This window comes from Homo sapiens, chromosome 2 (genome assembly GCF_000001405.40).
Source record: "Homo sapiens chromosome 2, GRCh38.p14 Primary Assembly".
In the NCBI taxonomy this organism is placed as follows: Eukaryota; Metazoa; Chordata; class Mammalia; order Primates; family Hominidae; genus Homo; species Homo sapiens.
Genome location: NC_000002.12, coordinates 23,942,605 through 23,967,414, shown reverse-complemented (window position 1 = coordinate 23,967,414; position 24,810 = coordinate 23,942,605). Strand labels below are relative to the sequence as shown.

General features: G+C 42.5%; 1 protein-coding gene and 1 pseudogene across 10 annotated transcripts in view; both read right to left on the bottom strand.

Moving 5' to 3' along the window:
• Window positions 1-24,810, bottom strand: part of UBXN2A (UBX domain protein 2A) — a 77,632-nt gene that overhangs the window by 37,495 nt on the left and 15,327 nt on the right. For 8 of the 10 annotated variants that reach the window (XM_005264168.6, XM_011532633.4, XM_005264166.6 and 5 more), the window contains one exon: window positions 9,060-9,114. In XM_005264168.6, the coding sequence (XP_005264225.1) occupies window positions 9,060-9,100 (41 nt within the window). In that variant the 5' untranslated portion in view covers window positions 9,101-9,114. Of the gene's footprint in view, window positions 1-9,059; window positions 9,115-9,969; window positions 10,265-14,827; window positions 14,950-24,810 lie in introns of those variants that run through there. The other 2 variants (XM_005264167.6, XM_047443580.1) reach the window with 2 other exon arrangements.
• On the bottom strand, window positions 22,337-23,592 carry SDHCP3 (SDHC pseudogene 3; annotated as a pseudogene).

Below are 24,810 nucleotides of genomic sequence, written 5' to 3'. Positions count from 1 at the left end.
TTATGCTTTCTGGTATTTAACTGTTTCTTCTGTTCAGATGGTAGTTAGTGCTCCATTAGTAATTACTAAATACAAAGCCAATAAAGCTGAGCATCCAGAGTAGCTGAAATTTCATTCCTTCATGTTATTTATTTAATGTGTAAATTCTATTAAACTTCATCATGTGCATTCAAATTACTCAAATATTTATTGAGTATCTACTACATGCTAGGTGGCAGGGAGATATGAAGACGAGTAAGAAACGGTCTATGTTTATAAGAGGTTCAGGGTAGAGTGGAGTGGAGTGGAGTGGAAATGTATAGTAAGAGTAGAGTAGAGTAGAGATGTATCGTAGGAAATAGTTACAATAGAAAATACAGCCAGGCACAATGGCTCATGCCTGTAATCCCAGCATTTTGGGAGGCCAAGGTAGGAGAACTGCTTGAGCCCAGGATTGGAGACCAGCCTGGGCAACATGGCGAAATCCCATCTCTATAAAAAAAGAAAAGAATAAGCTGGGCGTGGTGGTGCACACCTGTAGCCCCAGCTACTTGGGAGGCTGAGCTCAGGAGGCCAAGGTTGCAGTGAACTGAGATCATGTCAATGTACTCCAGGCCTGGGCAACAGAGTAAGACCCTATCTCAAAACAAAAACAAAAACATTAAAAAAAAAAAAAAAAAAAAAAGGCCGGGCGCGGTGGCTCACGCCTGTAATCCTAGCACTTTGGGAGGCCAAGGTGGGCGGATCACAAGGTCAGGAGATCGAGACCATCCTGGCTAACACGGTGAAACCCCGTCTCTACTAAAAATACAAAAATTAGCCAGGTGTGGTGGCGGGCGCCTGTAGTCCCAGCTACTCGGGAGGCTGAGGCAGAAGAATGGCGTGAACCTGGGAGGCAGAGCTTGCAGTGAGCTGAGATCACGCCACCGCACTCCAGCCTGGGCAACAGAGCGAGACTCTGTCTCAAAAAAAAAAAAAAGAAAAAAAGAAAATATCTACCAGGCCAGGTGCGGTGGCTCACGCCTGTAATCCTAGCACTTTGGGAGGCCAAGGTGGGCGGATCACGAGGTCAAGAGATCAAGACCATCTGGCCAACACGGTGAAACCCCGTCTCTACTAAAAATACAAAAATTAGCTGGAGTGGTGGCATGTGCCTGTAGTCCCAGCTACTTGGGAAGCTGAGGCAGGAGAAATGCTTGAACCTGGGAGGCGGAGGTTGCAGTGAGTCAAGATCGCGGCACTGCACTCCAGCCTGGCGACAAAGAGAGATTCTGTCTTTAAAAAAAAAAAAGAAAATAACTACAATAAGAGATATAAGGTACAGTTCAGAAAACTGGGGCACTCTGGCTCCATTGAACAGGTGGTAATGGGTTTGTTTCACTTTTGATGAGTGTATAGGCACAGGAAAAAAGAGTAGCAAAGGCATTAAGAACTGCTTTATGCCCCTAAAATTGATAACTTAGATGAAATGAACCAATTTATTATAAGGCACCCTCTATCAAAACACACACAAGAAGGAACAGATAATATGAATAGGCTTATGCATACTAAGGGAATTAAATCAATAATATATAACCTTCCGAAACAGAAGCACCAGGTCTGGATGATGTCACTGATGAATGCTACCAAACATTTAAGAAAGAAATGATGCCAATTCTCTATAATCTCTTCCAGAAAATAGAAGCAGAGGGAATACTTCTAACTCATTCTACGAGGATAACACTATGCTAATACTAAAACCAAAGACATTACAAGAAAGGAAAGCTACAGAAAATTTATCATGAACATATATGCAAAAATACTCAACAAAATATTAGCAAACAGAATACAACAATGTATATAAAAAAGTAAACACCACAACCGTGTAGGATTTATCCTAGGTATGCGAGGCTGCAGTGGTTTAACACTGAAAATTAATTCATGTAATCTATCACATCATTAGCCTAAAGAAGAAAAATAATATAATCATATCAACATATGCAGAAAAAGCATTAGACAATATCTAACAACCATTCATAATAAAACCCCCACCAACTAGGAAGAGAAAGGGAACTTTCTCAACTTGGTAAACAATGTCTGCAAAAGCCTACATCTAACATCATATTTAATCAGGAGAAACTAGATGCTTTCCCACTAAGATCAGGAACAAGACAAGGATGCTGCGTCTCACCATTCCTCATCAGTGTTGTACTGGAAGTCCGAGCTAATCCAGTAAGATAAGGAAAGGAAGTAAAATGTATACAGGTTGGAAAGGAGGCCAGGTGCAGTGGCTCATGCCTATTATCCCAGCACTTTAGGAGGCGGAGGTGGGAGGACCCCTTGAGCCCAGGAGTTTGAGACCAGCCTGGGCAACATAGGGAGACCCCATCTCTATAAAAAAAATACGAAAAATTAGCCAGGTATGGTGGCACATGCCTATAGTTCCAGCCTCTCCAATAGCTAATTTTTGTATTTTGTAGGCATGAGGGTTTACCATATGCCCCAGGCCAGTCTTGAACTCCTGGGGTCAAGAAATGTGCCTGCTTTGGCCTCCCACAGTGCTAGGATTACAGACGTGAGCCACTGCGCTCAGCCAGTAAACACATCTTAAAATGTCAGGAGTTCCTATAATAATAAAAGTACAGAAGCTTCAGGTGAGGGATTTTCTAAAAAGTTTTTTTTATTTTATCATGGTAAGAACACTTAAAATGAGACCTAACCTCTTAACATATTTTTAAGTGAACAATAAAGTGTGGTTAACTATAGGTACTATGTTGTTCAGCATATCTCTAGGACCTATTCATCTTGCTTAACTGAAACCTTATGCCCACTGATTAGCAACTCCTCATTTTCACTTTCCCCTAGCCCCTGGCAACCACCATTATATCCTCAAGGTTCATCTATGTTGTTGCATACTGCAGAATTTCCTTCTTTCTCAAGACTGAATAGCCGAGCGTGGTGGCTCACGCCTGTAATCCCAGTACTTTGGGAGGTCGAGGCAGGCGGATCACTTGAGGTCAGGAGTTTGAGACCAGCCTGACCAACATGGTGAAACCCTGTCCCTACTAAAAATACAAAATTAGCCGGGTGTGGTGGCACACGATTGTAATGCCAGCTACTCAGGAGGCTGAGGCAGGAGAATCACTTGAACCTGGGAGGCAGAGGTTGTGGTGAGCCGAGATTGTGCCATTGCACTCCAGCCTGGGCAAGAAGAGCGAAACTCTGTCTCAAAAAAAAAAAGGATTGGATAATATTCCATTTTGGGTATGTATTATATATTCTTTACCCATTCATCTCTTTTCGAGATTTTTTTTTTTTTTTTGAGACAGGATCTGGCTCTGTCACCCAGAATGGAGAAGCGCAGTGACACGATCATGGTTCACTGCAGCCTAGAACTCCTAGGCTCAAACGATCCTCCTGTCTCAGCCTCCTCAGTAGCTGGGTCTACAGGTATGTGTCACCAAGCTGGCTAGTTTTTCAATTTTTCTTTTGTAGAGATGAGTTCTCACTATGTCAACAAGGCTGGTTTCAAACTCCTTCCCTCAAGGGATCCTCCTGCCTTGGGTTCCCAAAATGTTGGCATTACAGATGTGAGCCACGGCACCCAGTCTCTTCAAGATTCTGATTCCAATTCCTTTGGATAATATCCAGAGGTGGGATTGCTGGATCTATTCAGCAATCCATTCTGTGGCAATTCTATTTTTAATTTTTTGAGGAATCGCCATACTGTTTTCCATAGTAGCTACACCATTTTGCATCCCCATCAACAGTGTTCAAGGGTTCTCTTTTCTCCATATCCTCACCAGGACTAGCTCTTTTGTTTTTTGACAACAGCCATCCTGACAGGTGTGAGGTGATTACTCTTATTTTGATTTGCATTTCCCTGATGATTACTAGTGACACTGAACATATACCTGTTGTATGCCTTATTCGGAGAAATGTCTATTCAGACTTTTTTTCCACTTTTCTCTTTTTTTTTTTTTTTGAGACACTGTCTCACTCTTTCACTCAGGCTGGAGTGCAGTGGTGCAATCTTGCCTCAGCCCCCCGAGTAGTTGGGATTACAAGTGTGTGCCACCACGCCTGGCTACTTTTTGTATTTTTAGTAGAGACAGGGTTTCACCATGTTGGTCAGGCTGGTCTCGAACTTCTGACCTCGTGATCCGCCCGCCTCAGCCTCCCAAAGTGCTGGGATTATGGGTGTGAGCCACTGCGCCCGGCGTTTTCTTCCATTTTTTAATTGGGTTATTGATACGGTTTGGCTGTGTCCCCACCCAAATCTCATCCTGAATTCCCATGTGTTGTGGGAGGGACCTGGTGGGAGGTAATTGAATCATGGGAGCAAGTCTTTCCCATGCTGTTCTCATGATAATAAATAAGTCTCACGAGACGTGATAGTTTTAAAAAGAGGAGTTCCCCTGCACAAACTCTCTCTCTTTGCCTGCTGCCATCCATGTTAAGATGTAACTTGCTCTTCCTTGCCTTCTGCCATGATTGTGAGGCTTCCCCAGCCATGCGGAACTGTAAGTCCAATTAAACCTCTTCCTTGCCGGACGCGGTGGCTCATGCCTGTAATCCCAGCACTTTGGGATGCCAAGGCGGGTGGATCACCTGAGGTCGGGAGTTGGAGACCAGCCTGCCTGACCAACATGGAGAAACCCTGTCTCTACTAAAAAATACAAAACTAGCCAGGTGTGGTTGCACATGCCTGTAATTCCAGCTACTAGGGAGGCTGAGGCAGGAGAATGGCTTGAACCCAGGAGGCTGAGGCTGCCATGAGCCGAGACTGCATCATTGCACTCCAGCCTGGGCAACAAGAGCGAAACTCCGTCTCAAAAAAAAAAAAAAAAAGAATAAAAAAAGGAAAAAAAAACCTCTTACTTTTGTAAATTGCCCAGTCTCGGGTATGTCTTTATCAGCAGCATGAAAATGGACTAATACAGTTGCTATGATTATTAGTTTTTTGCTACTGAGTTGTAGGAGTATCTGATATATATTTTGGTAACTAATCCCTTATAAAATATATTGTTTCCAAATATTTTTTTCCCATTCCATAGGCTGCCTTTTCATTCTGTTGTTTCCTTTGCTTCAGGTAAGGGACTCTGAAACAACTATTTGGGCAGCAGAACAGCCTCTTTTGTTTGCTTTCTCATTGTCTACTGTGTTCTGCATAAATAAGGTTATGAATTAGCTGTTGTTCATATGGGTGAAAGATTTGCATCTGTGGACGCTTAGATAGCACATATGGTAAACATAGAACTTCACCATTTATAACCTTTGAACAACTGATACACTTAGAAAAGCAGTTTTTGGCTGGGCGCGGTGGCTCATGCCTGTAATCCTAGCACTTTTGGGAGGCTGAGGTGGGCAGATTGCCTGAGGTCAGGAGTTCAAGACCAGCCTGGACAACATGGTGAAACCCCATCTCTACTAAAAGTACAAAAATTAGCCAGGCATGGTGGTGGGCACCTGTACTCCCAACTACTCGGGAGGCTGAGGCAGGAGAATTGCTTGAACCTGGGAGGCGGAGGTTGCAGTGAGCTGAGATCACGCCACTGCACTCCAGCCTGGGTGACAGAGCAAGACTCTGTCTCAAAAAATAAAAAAAAAAGGCCGGGTGCGGTGGTTCACACCTGTAATCCCAGCACTATGGGAGTCCGAGGCAGGCAGATCATGACGTCAAGAGATAGAGACCATCCTGGCCAACATGGTGAAACCCCATCTCTACTAAAAATACAAAAATTAGCTGGGCGTGGTGGTGTGCACCTACAGTCCCAGCTACTCGGGAGGCTGAGGCAGGAGAATCACTTGAACCTGGGAGGCGGAGGTTGCAATGAGCCGAGATCATGCCATTGCGCTCCAGCCTGGTGACAGAGCAAGACTTCATCTCACCAAAAAAAAAAAAAAAAAAAAAAAAGGCAGTTTTCTTTGCATTTTTCCCTGGACCATTGTTTTTAACAAAACATTTTTACAAATCCACTTTTGTTACAAAGAAAATTATAAACTATCACCAATATTTTTGTGTACTTTACCAAATATTTTACTTAAAATTCAAAGTACAGGCCAGGCACGGTGGCTCACGTCTGTAATCCTAGCACTTTGGGAGGCCGAGGTGGGCGGATCACCTGAGGTCAGGAGTTCGAGATCAGCCTGGACAACATGGTGAAACCCCATCTCTACTAAAAATACAAAAATTAGCCAGGCGTGGTGGCACACACCTGTAGTCCCAGCTACTTGGGAGGCTGAGGCAGGAGAATTACTTGAACCTGGGAGGCAGAGGTTGCAGTGAGCCAAGATTGTACCACTGCACCCCAGCCTGGGTGACAAGAGCAAAACTCCGTCTCAAAAAAAACAAAAACAAAAAAAATTCAAAGTACATACTGATACATGCTCTACAACATAGGTGAACCTTGAAAACATTATGCTAAGTGAAAGCAGTCAGTCACAAAAGACCACATATTGTATAACTGCATTTATATGAAATGTCCAGAACAGGTAAATCTGTAGAAATAGAAAGCAGACGGCCAGGCATGGTGGCTCACACCTGTAATCCCAGAACTCTGGGAGGCCAAGGCGGGCAGATCACCTGAGGTTAGGAGTTTGAGACCAGACTGGCCAATATGGTGAAACCCCATCTGCACTAAAAATACAAAAAACTTAGCTGAGCATGGTGGTGCGTGCCTGTAATCTCAGCCACTCGGGAGGCTGAGGCAGGGGAATTGCTTGAACCTGGGAGGTGGAGGTTGCAGTGAGCCAAGATCACGCCGTTGCACTCCAGCCTGGGCAACAGAGTGAGATTCCGTCTCAAAAAAAGAAAGCAGTTTCATGGTTGTCAGGGGCAAGGCATAGGACAATGGGTGGGATTGCTAATGGATATGGGGTTTCTCTTTGGGGTAATATAAATGCGCGAAAATTGACTATGTTAATGACTGCAAAAATCTGTGAATGTACTAAAAACTACTGAACTATATATTTTAAGTGAATGAATTATATGGTATGTGAATTATATTTCAATAAAGCCATTTTAAAACAGGCCTGTTCTAAGTTAATTTTACCATTTCAAATCAGTCATTCAATTTATTACTGCGCAGAAATGAGTTAATATAGCAGATCTGATTGCTATCTTTTGAAAGACTTGCTTACAAGGCTGGTCCTGGGCTGGCATCTGCAAACTTGGATTTCTGTTTTTTTGTTTTTTTTTGAGACAGAGTCTCACTCTGTCGCCCAGGCTGGAGTGCAGTGGCGCGATCTCGACTCACTGCAAGCTCCACCTCCTGGGTTCACGCCATTCTCCTGCCTCGGCCTCCCGAGTAGCTGGGACTACAGGCACCCGCCACCATGCCCAGTTAATTTTTTTTTTGTATTTTTAGTAGAGACGGGGTTTCACCGTGTTAGCCAGGATGGTCTCGATCTCCTGACTTCGTGATCCACCCGCCTCGGCCTTCCAAAGTGCTGGGATTACAGGCATGAGGCACTGCGCCCGGCCGCACCTGCAAACTTGGATTTCTAGAAGGTTCCCATCACCCTAAATTTATAAGGATGGCTCAATGTACAGTTTATATAAACAATGTGATTTATATTGAACTCCTGCTTTCCTTATGATAGCCTGAAATTTTAGGATGTAACTAGCTCCCACTAAAAACTCTAGGCTCATCTCCAATGAGCTTTCCTGGTAGACAATACTTCACATGAATTTGTCACAACTTGTTACTGGGGGAATTAAGTACATCCTGGGTGACTCCACTGGGTGAGGACCCCTGGAAGCTTGTGCCTGGTTTTCCCTATGTACTTTTTCCCTTTGCTGATTTTGCTTTGCAACCCTTCACTGTAATAAATTATAATCATGAGTATAACTACATTCTAAATCTTACAAATTCTTCTAGTAAATCATCAAAACTAGGGGTGGTCTTGGAGACCTCTGACACAACTTCACATTTATTTATTTATTTTTATTTATTTTTTGAGACGGAGGAGTCTTGCTCTGTCACCCAGGCTGGAGTGCAGTGGTGCGGTCTTGGCTCACTGAAACCTCCACCTCTAAGGTTCAAGCAATTCTCCTGCCTCAGCCTCCTGAGTAGCTGGGACTACTGGTACCTGCCACCACACCTGGCTAATTTTTGTATTTTTAGTAGAGATGGGATTTCATCATGTTGTCCAGGCTGGTCTCGAACTCCTGACCTCAGGTGATCCGCCTACCTCGGCCTCCCAAAGTGCTGAGATTACAGGCGTGAGCCACTGTGCCCGGCCAACAACCTCACAATTATATAATTAGCATCAAATATTTATATAAGCCTATAAATACCTGAGTTAAAAAATAAATAATAGGCCAAGCATGGTGGCTCACGCTTATAATCCTAGCATTTTGAGAGGCTGTGGCAGGAGGATCACTTGAAGCCAGGAGTTCTGAGCAATATAGTGAGACCTCATTGCTACAAAAAAATTTAAAAATTTAACTGGAGGCAGTGGTGTAAGCCTGTAGTCCCAGCTACTCAGGAAGCCAAGGAGAGATGATCACTTGTCCCCAGGAATTCAAGGCTCCAACAAGCTATGATTGCACCACTGCACTCTAGCTTGGGCAACAGACACCCTGTCTGTAAAAACAAAAGAAAAAGAAAAAAAGATACACACATAAAACCTTTCAGATAGGTAGGTATTTGTATCCTTATTTTATAGATGAGATATTGAGGCTCAAAGAATTTACCTAAGCTGCCCAAAGGCCAGAGAGATAATAGAAGGCAGAGACGGGATTCAAGCCTAGGTTTATCTGACTCCAAAGCCATATTCCCACTATGACACTAAAATAGTGTATCTATCACAAGAGGCTAATGAGGTAAATAGTTATTTAATTTATCAAATAACAGAAGTAATGTATGAACACAGATAATTTAACTTTTTAAAATTAATAAAAAACATTCAGTAACTTCAATAAAATTTGTTTAATGCAGCTATGGTAAAAAAATTACTTCAACATAGTAGATGACAATGAAGTAGTCATACATAATTAAAACGTACTCTACTATCTCTGCAAGTGAAATGTAATAAAAATACAGGACGATATTAACAAAGGCATTAACAAAGCAATTCAGTTTGAATTAACTTACCATTCTTCTTTTATACTTTTGAGGTTATCTACGTCTTTCATTCTCTTTCGCCTTACTGTAAAAGTACAAAGAAAGTAAGTAAAAAGAAAGTAAGTAAAAAGCTTAATATGTAAGTTACCATGTAGTCCTAAAGTATTACTTAAAAGTGTCTAAAGAAAAAGTGAGCAAACTCAAAGCTGTCATTTTCATCATCAAAATAAAGCAATGATAGAAAATACATTTTAAGTCTGATAATCTGACAAAAGAAAGACTTCTTAAAACTTATTATGAAAAAAAGTATAATATACCATTTGACTTAACAAATGAACTGGGCATGTGCCTCACACCTGTAATTCCAGCACTTTGGGAGGAAAAGGTAGGAGGATTGCTGAAGCCAAGGAATTCAAGACCAGTCTGGGTAAAATAGTGAGACTGACTCTACAAAAAATGGCTAGGCGCAGTGGCTCATGCCTGTAATCCCAGCACTTTGGGAGGCCAAGGTGGGTGGATCACATTTATTATTTATTTATTTATTTATTTTTGAGATGGAGTACCGCTCTTGTTGCCCAGGCTGGAGTGCAATGGCACAATCTCGGCTCACCACAACCTCCATCTCCCGGGTTCCAGAGATTCTCCTGCCTCAGCCTCCCGAGTAGCTGGGATTACGGACGTGCGCCACCACACCCGGCTAATTTTTTATTTTTAGTAGAGTCGAGGTTTCTCCATGTTGGTCAGGCTGGTCTCGAACTCCCAACCTCAGGTGATCCACCTGCCTCGGCCTCTCAAAGTCCTGGGATTACAGGTGTGAGCCACAGTGCCCAGCCATGGGTGGATCACTTGAGGTCAGGAGTTCAAGACCAGCCTGGTCAACATGGTGAAACCCTGTCTCTTCTAAAAAATATAAAAATTAGCCAAGTGTGGTGGTACGCACCTGTAGTCCCAGTTATTCAGAAGGCTGAGGCAGGAGAATCACTTGAACCTGGGAGGCAGAGGTTGCAGTGTGCTGAAATCACACCACTGCACTCCAGCCTGGGCAACAGAACAAGACTTCATCTCAGAAAAAAAAAGTTAGCCAGGCATTATGGTGCACCTCTGTGGTTCCAGCTACTCAGGAAGTTGAGGTGCTGAGGTGGGAGGATAACTTGAGCCCAGGAGTTCAAGGATGCAGAGGGTCATCATCATGCCACTGTGCTCCAGCCTGGGCAACAGCCCTATGCACCTGCAGGCTCAACCAATCATGGATCAAAAATATTCAAGGAAAAAAAAATAAGAAAAACAATACAACAAAAAATAATACAAATTTTAAAATTACATAACAACTATTTACATAGTATCAGGTATTATAAGTAATTTAAAGGTGATTTATAGTATACAGGAGGATGTGCATACGTTATCTGCAAATAGTATGCTATTTTATGCAAGGGACTTGAGCATCAGCAGATTTTGGTATCTATGGGGGTCTTGGAACCAATCTTCCAGGGACACCAAGTGACAGGTGTAGTCCAAACCACTGGTCTGCTGAGAAGGCCTGGAAGCAATGACATACCAGAAGCAATGAGCACATCAAGTGCCTATATGTTGGTTTCTAAATATTCTACTGTTTAAGGAGAATGTTTTTCTTAAATTGCTCCTTCAAGAAAAGGATAACTTCAGGGCTGGGGCAGAGAAAGATGAACATGGAAACTTTTACCCCAGAAAAGGTACCCAAAGAATGATAAGGACAGGGCCAGGTGTGGTGGCTCACGTCTGTAATCCCAGCACTTTGGGAGGCCAAGGAGGGTGGATCACCTGAGGTCAGGAGTTCAAGACCAGCCTGGCCAACATGGTGAAACCCCATCTCCACTAAAAATACAAAAATTAGCCAGGCATGGTGGTCGGCGCAAGTAATCCCAGCTACTAGGTAGGCTGAGGCAGGAGAATCACTTCAACCCTGGAGGCGGAGCTTGCAGTGAGCTGAGACTGCGCCACTGCACTCCAACTCTGGTGACAGAGTTAGTGAGACTGTCTCAAAAAAGAAACAAATAATAAATTAAAAAGAAAAAATGAAAAGAAAAAGTGACCCCAAAGGCACTCTGAAGGGGCTCCCATTCGGTAAATCTGGTAAACTGAACATCTAAAAAAATAACAATACTAGTGGATTCTGCTCCATTGAATAAAACAAAAATATGTGAGTCTATACGATCAGATTTTTTTTTTTTTAATAAAAAAGATGAGGTCAGGTATGGTGGCTCATGCCTGTACTCCCAGCACTTTGGGAGGCCGAGGCAGTTGGATCACTTCAGGCCAGGAGTTCGAGACCAGCCTGTCCAACATGGCAAAACCCATCTCTACTAAAAATACAAAAATCAGCTCGGCATAGTGGCACATATCTGTAATCTCCACTACTCAGGAGGCTGAGGCATGAGAATTACTTGAACCTGGGAGGCAGAGGTTGAAGTAAGCCGAGACTGCGTCGCAGCACTCCAGCCTGAGATGAACCCTTTAATAAACTCACAGTAATGTGGCATTATCATAACCAAAATACATTCCAAATACAGTAATACACTGTGTAACAACATTTTGGTCAATGACGGACTGCATATACAATGGTGGTCCCATAAGATTATAACAGTATATTTTTACTGTGTCTTTTCTATGTTGAGATATGTTTGGATACGCAAATAGTTACCATTATATCATAACTGCCTACAGTATTTGGTACAGTAACATGCTGTACAGGTTTGTAGCCTAGGAGCAATATGCTACACCATACAGCCTGTGTGTATAGTTGGCTATAACATCAGGTTTGTGTAAATACATTGTATGATATTCACACAATGACAAAACTGCCTAATGACACTTTCCAGAATGTATGCCCTTCATTAAGTGACACAGGATTATATATACAAGATTTAAAATGTTTAAACTCCTTATTGAAAGAGAGTGAGAGAAAAAGAAAAAGGAAAATTAAACTCTTGAGGGTGACATCAGCAAAATGGAAGAACAGGTAGGTCCAGGCACCTGTCCCCTCTACAGAAATATCAAAAGACAAGTAGAAACTCTTAGAACCAACTTTGTCAGAACTCTAGAAAATAGTCAAAGAAGGGTTACAGCAACCAAGGGAATGCTGAATCAAGAAAATGGCAACTTAAAAATGGTAGGCAAGCAGCCGGGTGCGATGGCTCACGCCTGTAATCCCAGCACTTTGGGAGGCCGAGGTGGGCGAATCACAAGGTCAGGAGATCGAGACCATTCTGGACAGCAAGGTGAAACCCCGTCTCTACTAAAAATACAAAAATTAGCTGGGCGTGGCGGTGCATGCCTGTAATCCCAGCTACTCAGGAGGCTGAGGCAGGAGAATGGCCTGAACCCGGGAGGTGGAGGTTGCAGTGAGCCGAAATTGCACCACTGCACTCCAGTCTGGCGACAAAGCTAGACTCTGTTTCAAAAAAAAAAAAAAAAAAAAGGTAGGCAAGCTGGGCACAGTGGCACACTCCTGTATTCCCAGCTACTTGGGAGGCTGAGAGGCAGGAGATCACTTGAGCCAGGGAATTTGAGGCTGCAGTGAGCCATGATCATGTCACCACACTCCAGCCTGGGCAACAGAGCAAGAATCTGTCTCTTAAAAAAAAAAAAAAAAAGATATGCAAAAATGGGCAAAGGACTTGTGTGAATAGACATTTTTCCAAAGAAGAAATAAAAATGGCCAATAAGCACGTGAAAAGATGCTCAAAATCAATAGTTCCTAGGAAACACAAATCAAAACCATAATGAGATACTACTTCACACCCACTAGGATGGCTATTAAAAAGAAAACAAAAAGCAGAAAACAAGCGTTGGCAAGGTTGTAACGAAATTGAAACCCTGGTACGCTACTGGTGGGAATGTGAAATACTGCAGCTGCTGAGGAAAACATTTTGGTGGCTACAGCAATATTCACAATAGCCAAAAGGTGGAAACAACCCAAGTATCCATCAACAGATGTATGGATAAACAAAATGAGGTGTATATAAGCAATGGAATATTATTCAGCCATAAAAGGAGTGAAATTCTGATACATACTATAACATGGATGAATGCTGAAAACATGATGCTACATGAATAAAAAAGTCAGATACAAAAGGACAAACACTTTATGATTCCAAATATATAAAATATCTAGAATAGGTGATTGATAAAGACAGAAAGTAGGACAGAGGTTACTAGGGATTGAGATGAATGGGGAAGGACCAGTTACTTAATGGGTAGTCCCAGCTACTCGGGAGGCTGAGGCAGGAGAATCACTTGTACCCGGGAGGCGGAGGTTGCAGTGGGCTGAGACCACGCCATTGCACTCCAGCCTGGGCAACAAGAGTGAAACTCAGTCTTAAAACAAAAAGAAAAAAAAATTATAATGTCTCCAATTTGCAACTGCTAATGCAATAATGAATCTAGGCAATGATATCAATGGCTGCTAACATCACAAACAGAGACAACCAGACAAAAAAACATGCCTCAGTGTAAAAGCTTGTACCATCATCTATTCTTGCCAAAAATGTGAATCTGAATCCATTCAAGCCTCTAGATCTAACTACCAGATTACAGGAAATACAGGGCACAAAGGAGCATAATCAGATGATATCACAAGAATGCAATCAACAAAGTCCAGAATGTGGGAAATTCTTTAGGAAAAATGATCCATTTTCTTCAACACATATATTATGAGGGAGAAAAATGTGATGACAGTAGATTCTTTAAATATTTCAGAAATATATCAATGTATTACAATGTATGGACCATATTTCGATTTTGATTTAAACAAATCAACCGTAAAAAAAAGTTATGAAAGAATCCGTAACATCTGAATAGTGACGGGATATCTGATGTTATTTTGGAGCGATGATTAATTTTTAGGGTGTGACGATGGGACTGTAGCTATAAGTTTTTTAAGTCACTGCTTTAGATACATACTGAAATATTGACTGATGAATACTATAACTGGAACTTGCTTCAAACAATCAAGTGGATTGGGGAGTGGATGGAATATAATTAAAATCAAAATGGCCACAACTTGATAATCATCAAGATGGGTAATGAGTAGATATGAGAGTTTACTGTTCTCTCCATTTTTATACACACTTGAAAAGTTTCATAATAAAATTTGGGATGAAAAACTCTACCCTAAAAATATATACACCTAGAGTGCTATACCGCAATTTCATTTGTTTTTTTAAAAGGCAGTACTTTTGCTCTATCAGAAAATTACTCTTAATAATCTAAGAGTAGCAGTAATTTCAAAGATTTGAATCCTTATGAAATATAACTTGCCTCTTACTCTCCAAATCATAAATTTGAAGCTGTGAAAAGCAATGTGTATCCACATTTAAACTAATGACTATGAAAAGATGTATTATGACCACAATAAAGATTACTTTGTTAAAAAAAAAAAAAACAACTAAGAGCTTCATATGACATTTGGTTGATTCATGGCTTGAAAAAAAAATCAATGACTTTTTCACAATTTTAAAATTAAATAAACAGGCCAGGCATGGTGGCTCACACCTGTAATCTCAGCACTTTGGGATGTCAAAGTGGGAGGACTGTTTGAGGCCAGAAGTGCCAAACCAGGCTGGGCAACATAGCCAGACCCCATCTCTACAAAAAATACAAAAATTTGGCTGTGTGTGGTAGCTCACACCTGTAATACCAACACTTTGGGAGGCCAAGGCAGGTAGATCACAAGGTCAGGAGTTCAAGACTAGCCTGGCCAACATGGTGAAACCCGTCTCTACTAAAGACACAAAAAATTAGCCAGGCGTGGTAGCACGCACCTGTAATCCCAGCTACTCAGGAGGCTGAGGCAGAAGAACTGCTTGAACCCGGGAGGTGGAGATTGTGGTGAGCTGACATCGCGCCATTGCACTCCAGCCTGGGCGACAGGGAAAGACTCTGTCTCAAAAAAATAAATAAATAAAAATAAAAAATAAATTAGCCCGGCACGGTGGCATATGCCTGTAGTCCCAGCTACTCCGGAGGCTGAGATGGGATGATCGCTTGAGCCCAGGAAGTTGAGGCTGCAGCGACCTGTGATCATTCTACTACATTCCAGCTTGGGCAACAGAGGGAGACCGTCTTAAAAAACAAAACCCAGCAGCCGGGTGTGATGGCTCACGCCTGTAATCCCAGCACTTTGGGCGGCCAAGGCAGGTGGATCACCTGAGGTCAGGAGTTTGAGACCAGCCTGGCCAACATGGTCAAACCCCATCTCTACTAAAAATACAAAAATTAGGCGGGTGTGATGGCGAGCGCTTGTAGTCCCAGCTACTTGAGAGGCTGAAGCAGGAGAATTGCTTGAACACAGGAGGCAGAAGTTGCAGTGAGCCGAGATCATACCACTGCACTCCAGCCTGGGTGACAGAGTGAGACTCTGTCTCAAAAAAAAAAAAAAAAAGGAAAAAAACTTCAGGAAATCATAACTCTATGCCCATTAACGTTTTCTCATAAGATTTCTTCCTTCAAACGTAGTATTCCTAAAATTAATTGCTTCACTTTAAAAATGTCTACATATTTCAAACATACACAAAGGAAAGAGAAAAATATAAACACCCACCCTGACCATTCAGATCAGCTTGACTCATTTGTTTCTTTTTTAAGAAATAAAATGGTACAGTGACTCATGCCTGTAATCCCAGCTCTCTGGGAGGCCCAGGCAGGGGGATCACTTCAGGCCAGGAGTTCGAGACCAGCTTGGTCAACATGGTGAAACCCCGTCTCTACTAAAAACACAAAAATTAGCTGGGCATGGTGGCAGGTGCCTGTAATCCCAAGTACTCCAGAGGCTGAGGCAGGAGAATCGCTTGAACCTTGGAGGCAGAGGTTCTGGTGAGCCAAGCTCGCACCACTGCACTTCAGCCTGGGTGACAAGAGCAAAACTGTCTCAAAATGAAACAAAACTATATATATATATATATATATATATATATATATATATATATATATATATATCCATCTTACTGTATATCAATTATAATGATGGAAAGTTGTTAAAAATAACTAAAGTGTATACTTATTCAGCACCTACTATATATCAGACATGAATGATTCTAGGTGCTTGGGATACATATTGAACAAAATAGATAAAGATCCCAGCTCTTTTGGACATTATAATCTGGTGGGGCTGTTTGTTTTTCACTTGGCAGTTCTCCAACATTATTTTCAACTAATTCAAAATAATCTCCTACAGTTAATAATACTGTATGCTTCAAAATAGCAGAAGGAATGGGTTTTAAATGTTCTCACAACAAAGAAATGTTAAGTATTTGAGCTGAGGGGCATGGTAATTAGCCTGATTTGACCATTCCATAATGTACATAAGTACTGAAACACCACAATGTATCCCATAAATATATAAAATTATTGTCAACTAAAAAATAATGAATAGGCCAGGCATGGTGGCTCATGCCTGTAATCCTAGCACTTTGGGAGGCCAATGTGGGTGGATCACCTGAGGTCAGGAGTTCGAGACCAGCCTGGCCAACACGGCGAACCACGCATGGGTGTGGTGGCGCATACCTGTAATCCCAACTACTCGGGAGTCTGAGGCAGGAGAATCGCTTGAACCCGGCGGGTGGAGGTTGCAGTGAGCCAAGATCGTGCCACTTCACTCCAGCCTGGGCGTAAGAGCAAAACTTCATCTCAAAAAATAAAATAAAATAGGCCAGGCGCAGAGGCTCATGCCTGTAATCCGAGCACACTGGAAGACCGAGGTGGGCGGATCACTTGAGGTCAGGAGTTCGAGACCAACCCAGCCAACATGGTGAAACCCCATCTCTACTAAAAATACAAAAAATTAGCCAGGCATGGTGGAGGGCGCCTGTAATCCCAGCTACCAAGAGGCTGAGGTGGGAGAATTGCTGGAACCCAGGAGTCGGAGGTCGCAGTGAGCCAAGATCATGCCACTGCACTCCAGCGTGGACAACAGAGCGAGAATCCGTCTCAAAAACAGTAATAATAATAATAAAATAAAAATAAAATAAAATATTTCCATAGTTTAGATCTGGTCTTCATTATCTCAAAAGCATAACATGTTCATTCTACTACTTTGTTCACATTGTAATCATCGTCCTAGGCATTCAAATCCTAACTATCCTTTAAGTCCCAGCTCAAGATCCATTTCCACCATAAAGATGAAATATTAGACCCTTAGTAATAGTCTCCTCCTAAGCATTTAGATTTTTGGCATTTAAATCATATTGTGTGATATTGCTTATTACTGTTTCTTTTCACTCTCTTTACCAGATCTGACATCGCTGAGGATAAGTACCATGACTTACACATTTCCTGTATCCTTCACAGTGTGCAGCAAGTGCAAAGCAAAGAGTAGCGATCCTTGGGGTGGGGGTGGGGGTGGGGGTGGGGGGATGATGAGAAATTATTCCAGTGATGGATACATTAAAAGCTCTGACTTTACTACTGTACAATATATCCATGTAACAAAATTATACTTGTACCCCACACATTTATACAAATAATTTTTTTTTTTTTGAGACAGAGTCTTGCTCTGTTGCCCAGGCTAGAGTGCAGTGGTGAGGTCTCAGCTTACTGCAACCTCCGCCTCCTAGGTTGAAGTGATTCTTCTGCCTCAGCCTCCCAAGTAGCTGGGATTACTGGCATGTGCCACCATGCCTGGCTAATTTTTGTATTTTTAGTAGAGACAGCGTTTCACCACATTGGCCAGGCTGGTCTCAAACTACTGACCTCAGGTGATCCTCCTGCCTTGGCCTCCCAAAGTGCTAGAATTATAGGCATGGGCAACCACGCCCGGCTATAAATAAACTTATTTTTATTTTTATTATTTATTTATTTATTTTTGAGATGAAGTCTTGCTCTGTTGCCCAGGCTGGAGTGCAACCTCTACCTCCTGGGTTCAAGTGATTCTGCTGCCTCAGCCTCCCGAGTAGCTGGGGACTACAGGCATGTGCCACCACGCCCGGCTAATGTTTTGTATTTTTAGTAGAGACAGGGTTTCGATGTGTTAGCCAGGATGGTCTCCATCTCCTGACCTCATGATCCGCCCACCTCGGCCTCCCACAGTGCTGGGATTACAAGCGTGAGCCACCATGCCTGGCAAATAAATTTCTTCTAAAAGCTACAAGAGGGTTGGGTGTGGTGGCTCATGCCTGTAATCCCGGCACTTTGGGAGGCCAAGGCAGGCGGATCACCTGAGGTTAGGAGTTCAAGACCAGCCTGGCCAACATGGTGAAACTCCGTCTCTACTAAAAATACAAAAAAAAAAAAAAAAAGAAAAAAAAATAGCCAGGCTTGGTAGCACACGCCTGTAGTCCCAGCTACTTGGGAGGCTGAGGCAGGAGAATCACTTGAACCAGGGAGATGGAGGTTGCAGTGAGGGGAGATCACGCCAATGTGCTCTAGTCTGGGTGACAGAGATTCTGTCTCAAAAAAAAAAAAAAAAAGCTACAAGAGAAGTCTTACTTAAAGGATTTCACTGAGTTTCCAGTAATAGGTTATTGTTCTCTAGGAAATTACAAATACTTTTTTCCATCATTTTACAGTTATAAGGTACTGACAAATTGCTTTTACTTGTTTTATGACAGCAAAAGAGAATGAAGATAGAATAGACCTCAAATTCAAACTGAGTTTTACTGGAATACTGGCTACATCACTTTTGAGCTAGGTGACCTTGTATATGTTATTTAGCTTCTCTGAGTCCCAGCTGCCTAACTTATAGCATGGACATAATTATCCCCCTCAGGTTGTTCTGAGGACTGAAGATACTAAGAATACAACAGTGTTATACTCCTTTTTCTTTCCTCATCCCCCACCATAATCTGTTATAGAGATTGGTAAGAAACATCTTCAAGCTCACGCCTGTAATCCCAGCACTTTGGGAGGCCGAGGTGGGCAGATCGCCTGAGATCAGGAGTTTGAGACCAGCCTGGCTAACATGGTGAAACCCTGTCTCTACTAAAAACACAAAAATTAGCCAGGCATGGTGGCGCATGCCTGTAATCCCAGCTACTTGGGAGGCTGAGGCAGGAGAATCACTTGAATTGGGAGGTGGAGGTTGCAGTGAGCCGAGATCACGCCACTGCACTCTAGCCTGGGCAACAAGAGTGAGACTCTGTCTCAAAAAAAAAAAAAAAAGAAAAAGAAAAAGAAACATCTTCAGACTTAATCTAAAAAGTCCTAATTTTGACATGATTATGAAATTTTACTTTTGATTTCACGAATTAAACTTTTTAAAAGCCCGGCACAGTTGCTCACGCCTGTAATCCCAGCACTCTGGGAGGCTGAGGCGGGCGGATCACCTCAGGCCAGGAGTTCTAGACCAGCCTGGCCAACATGATGAAACCCTGTCTCTATTAAAAACACAAAAATTAGCCGTGCATGGTGGTGGGCACCTGTAATCTCAGCTACTTGGGAGGCTGAGGCAGGAGAATCACTTGAAGCTGGGAGGAGGAGGTTGCAGGGAGCTGAGCCCCCGCCATTGCACTCCAGCCTGGGCAACAAGAGCAAAACTCCATCTCAAAAAAACAAAAACTTAAAAAAAAATGTTTTATATACTTATTGAACCACCCACCAATGTGTGCAAGCCACTGATTTAAAACTAATGACAAAAGTGTCAGTATCAGTATGACAGTTTCTAGTAGCACAATTTTATGGACTAATAAGGAAAAAACAAACTGAATTACTAATTGTAAGCATGGCATAGAATTATGATGTAAAAATTAATTTTAACATGGAGACACCACAAAGTCACCATTACCGCAGTCATTTTCTATCATAAATTTAGTAACATGCAAATGAACCAACTAAAATTTATTTATATCAATTGAGTGAGCTGCTACAAATGTATCACAGTCATATGACATGAATGAACCTAAGTCATGTACTATACTGCAGAGAATAAAAAAAGCCATCTGACAAATATCCAAGTTATCAGCATAAAGTTGGCACAAGAATGAACAGATGAAAAGAACTGCCTTCATTTTTCTTCGGTCTACTTCCAACTATCACCATCATCTTACATTGATATAGCATATCACAGTTTACCGAACATCTTCTCAAATACTATCCCAAAAAGTGCAGTGATGAAATCAATCAGGAGACAGAGAAGACTGAGTTTTATGGAACATGTCCACTAACAGGAAAGGCCAGTCAAAATAGATTTGGACTACTAAGAATGTGGTATTTTAAAATGCTTACGTTAGGCCAGGCACAGTGGTGCACCCCTGTAATCTCAGCACTTTAGGAGGCTCAGGTGGTGGGAATCTCTTGATGCTAGGAGTTCAAGATCAGCCTAGGCAACACAGTGAGACCCTGTCACTACTACAAATAAGAACATTAGCCAGGCATCATGGCAAACGTCTGTAGTCCTGGCTAGTCAGGATGCTGAGGCAGGAGAGTTGCTTGAGTCCAGGAGTTTAAGGCTGCAGTGAACTATAATTGTGCCACTGAATTTCAGCCTGGGTAAGAGTGAGACCCTGTCTCAAAAAAAAAAAAAAAAAAAATTAATAAATTGGGAGTCTGAGACTCTTCTGACTTGGGAGACTGTCTGATTTCTTTTTTAAAATCTATAAACAAAAATTTAAAATAAGTGTATAAGAATCTGAATATAAAAACTACATCTTAAGAATTAAATAGGGCTGGGTGCGGTGGCTCATGCCTGAATCCCAGCACTTTGGGAGGCTGAGGCAGGTGGACCACTTGAGGTCAGAAGTTCAAGACCAGCCTGGCCAATATGGTGAAACTCCATCTCTACTAAAAATACAAAAATTGGCCAGGCATGGTGGCTCATGCCCGTAATCTCAGCTCTTTAGGAGGCTGAGGCGGGTGGATCACGAGGTCAGGAGATGGAGACCATCCTGGCCAACATGGTGAAACCCCGTCTCTATTAAAATACAAAAAAAAATAGCCAGGTATAGTGGCGTGCGCCTATAGTCCCAGCTACTCAGCAGGCTGAGGCAGGGGAATCGCTTGAACCCAGGAGGCGGACATTGCAGTGAGCCGAGATCACGCCACTGCACTCCAGCCTGGTGACAGAGTGAGTAAAAAAAAAAAACAACAAAAAACAAAAATTAGCCAGGCATGATGGCACACGCCTGTAGTCCCAAGCTACTCAGGAGGCTGAGGCGGGAGAATCGCTTGAACCCGGAAGCAAAGGTTGCAGTGAACTGAGATTGCACTACTGCACTCCAGCCTGGATGTCGAAGTGAAACTCTGTCTAAAAATAAATAAATAAATAAATAAACAAAAGAATTAAATGTGGCTGGACACAGTGGCTCATGCCTGTAATCCCCACACTTTGGGAGGCCCAAGGGGGCAAATCACTTGAGGCCAGGAGTTTGAGACCAGGCTGGCCAACCTGGCAAAACCCTGTGCCTACTAAAAATACAAAAACTAGCCGGACGTGGGAACACACACCTATAATCCCCAGCTACTCGGGAGGCTGAGGCACGAGAATTGCTTGAACCTGGGAGGCAGAGGTTGCAGTGAGCTGAGATCATGCCACTGTACTCCAGTTCAGCCTGGGTGACAGAGTGAGACCCTGTCTCAAAAAAAAAAAAAGAGAAGAAAAAAAAAGAATTAAATGCATAATTAAAAATTAAATTAAAAATTGCACATTACAATTTTATTTTTTAAAACATATATTTCATGGTCAAAAGGAATTTGAGGAGAAAAAATGCAAAAACAAACAAAAAACTGGCCACTTTTTTTTAGATTATGGATTTGTATCAAGGTATTATACAATCAGACATGCTACCTTTATATAGAAGCTTACGTTTCTTTTTAAGGATAAGGCCATTCCAGGTATTAAACACGAGGGAAAAGAAACCAATGGATCACATTTCCATGTTGGGTTCCTTTTACTTAGATCTTCTATGGAATGTGATTAGGCCCCCAAGCCTCCAAAAGCAACCAACTATGATAGCATCAGAACCAAATACTTAAAAGACAGTTCATTTGTATATTTTGTGAATTCTGGTTTACTATATACTAAGTGATAGAAAATGAAATCTTTTGGAAAGTTTCAGCTTATTTTAGCTGTAATCATAGTAATGAAGAAAATATATTTTTGTCCTTTCCTAGAAATTTTTAATGGGCTACTTATATACTCCAAGGACCAAAGTGGTAGTGACAACAGTAATTTAAATGAGAAAATCCTATGGGAAAGGTGACACTTAGGCAGAGACTGGCAAGGTTACTTATTGAGTCATTCCAGGGCTGACCAAGACATTCCCATTCCAGGACATTCTCATTCCAGGGCTCCATACTGAAATGTTATCTTATGTCACAAAGGGCCCTCCCCCCTTTTTTTTAATAAGTATTTTAATTCAGTTTCAGAAAAAAGTGGTACATGACTTGGATGAGAAAGCAAAAAATTAAGAGGCTTTTCTAGAAATGCAAGAAAAAAAACTTTAATATATTCAATAATTTTCTGGATCTTCCTCTTGGGTCAAAAGCTATATATTTTCTCCTCAAAGCAGCTGCTCCAAGAACTAACTAGTCCTCTTTAGCTCTCTCTAGCTGGGACAGACTAATTCTGCTCCACTCCCACCTCTCTTCTTTCAGTAACACTGCGTAGGTGTTAATGGCCTGGCTCTCACCAATGAACAGAACTGTCCTTTAAGCCAGCAACTCACAGGCAGTGGTGCCCAAAGCCTCACCCCCAGTCCCCAGGGCAGAAGCCACAGAGCTGGCATTGTTTCCAATATCCCAGGAAGGAGGAGCCAAAAGCTGACCTTCAGCACAAATCAAAGCCCAATATGGAGAGAGAATAACTGCTTCTAGGCCCAGATTAGGCAAGCTGTGGGCAAAAAAAGGGGAGTTTTTGCAGCCACCCCATCTTTAGAAACAAGGGGAAAACTAGACCCTTTTCCACCATTACGGTCTACAAGGTACTGTACTGTTCCAAGGGGATCTGAAAGCGCAAAAGAATCTAAACAAATAAGGAGAACTTTTCCCAGGGTGGAGATAAGACTGACAAACTGAAAGATGGGTGAATACAATAATGTGTAGGAAGATGATGCTGGTCACCTCAGTTCTTCACACAGCTGCCAGCCCTACAAATAACACAGTAAGAACCAGGACAACCACTCCAGACTGGTATAGCTGGGGAATCTTCAGGCCTTTTCCTAGGTCCCACATCAAGTGTTGGATCCCATTCCAGGTATGATACATGAGAGGGAAGACGAGTGCAAACTTAGTTGTGTCCATCAGTGCTGGCCCCAGACACAGGGACCAATGAGTTCCAAGTAAGACTTAAACTTTCCTGGGAGTAACAGGGCTGACATGCCAAAAAGAGACCCCTGTGCTCAAAGCAATACCAGAGCCATGGTGGCAGATGGACATCGACATAGGAAGACACCAACTCTAGATAGTGACGTGGGGAGATACGGGACGGTTTGAACCTGTGTTCTTATTCCAGAACCATTCCATCTCTTCTTTGGCCATGATTCCCAAAGGAACAGCATTTCTGATACAAAGCTGAGGGCTAAAGTGCGCTCGGAGGCAATGACCACTCCAACATGTCTCAGCAAGAGTGCAGCCATCTTGGGTTCTGGTCTGGACGGAAATGCAAAGCTCATTTTAAATATAATCTCCTTTAGCTGGGCACGGTGGTTTAAGCCTGTAATCCCAGCACTTTGGGAGGCCAAGACGGGCAGATTACCTGAGGTCAGGAGTTCGAGACCAGCCTGACCGACATGGTGAAACCCTGTCTCTCTCTACTAAAAATACAAAATTAGCTGGGTGTGGTGGTGCATACCTGTAATCCCAACTACTTGGGAGGCTGAGGCAGGAGAATTGCTTGAACCCAGGAGGCAGAAGTTGCCATGAGCCAAGATTGGGTCATTGCACTCCAACCTGGGTGGCAAGAACAAAACTCTATCTCAAATAAATAAAAACATACATACATACAATCTCCTTTAGAAAACCTTCCATGATTCCTCCAATAGGTGTGAATATAAAATTATTAACATGAGAAGAGATCAGTTAGGTACTCTTAAATTTTCAATGCCTTCATTGCCACAATTCTAGTCCCAACCACCATCAACTCTAGGTGGTCTCCTCATTTCCATTCTTGTCCCCATCCAATCCAGTTTCTACACAGCAGTCAGGACGACTTTTTGAAATAAAAAGTTGGCCAGGCACGGTGGCTCACGCCTGTAATTCCAGCACTTTGGGAGGCTGAAGTGGGCAGATCAGAAGGTCTGGAGTTCGAGACCAGCCTGGCCAACACAGTGAAACCCCGTCTCTACCAAAAATACAAAAAACTAGCCAGGCATGGTGGCGCATGCCTGTAATCCCAGCTACTCGGGAGGCTGAGGCAGGAGAATCGTTTGAACCCGGGAGGCAGAGGTTGCAGTGAGCGGAGATTGCACCACAGCACTCCTGCCTGTGCGAGACTCCGTCTCAAAAAAAAAAAAAAGTTGTTTGTAGTAAGACTTACCTTGCTTTAAACTTTTTTTTTTTCTGACGGAGGTAAACCTTTAAACGACTTCCTATTACTGTTAAAATAACATCCAAGTCATTTGGGTAATATTACGGGAGAGTTCATTGTACTGTTCTCTCCCTACATTTGAGTGGTTTGAAAAGTTTTCTATAAAAGTTTAAAAAAGAAAAAGAAACAGAAAAAGCTGGTCCCAAATCCTTAACATTGCTTAAAAGGCCCTGCATCAGCCGGGCACGGTGGCTCACGTCTGTAATCCCAGCACTCTGGGAGGCCGAGGTGGGTGGATCACCAGAGGTCAGGATTTTGAGACCAGTCTGACCAACACAGTGAAACTCCATC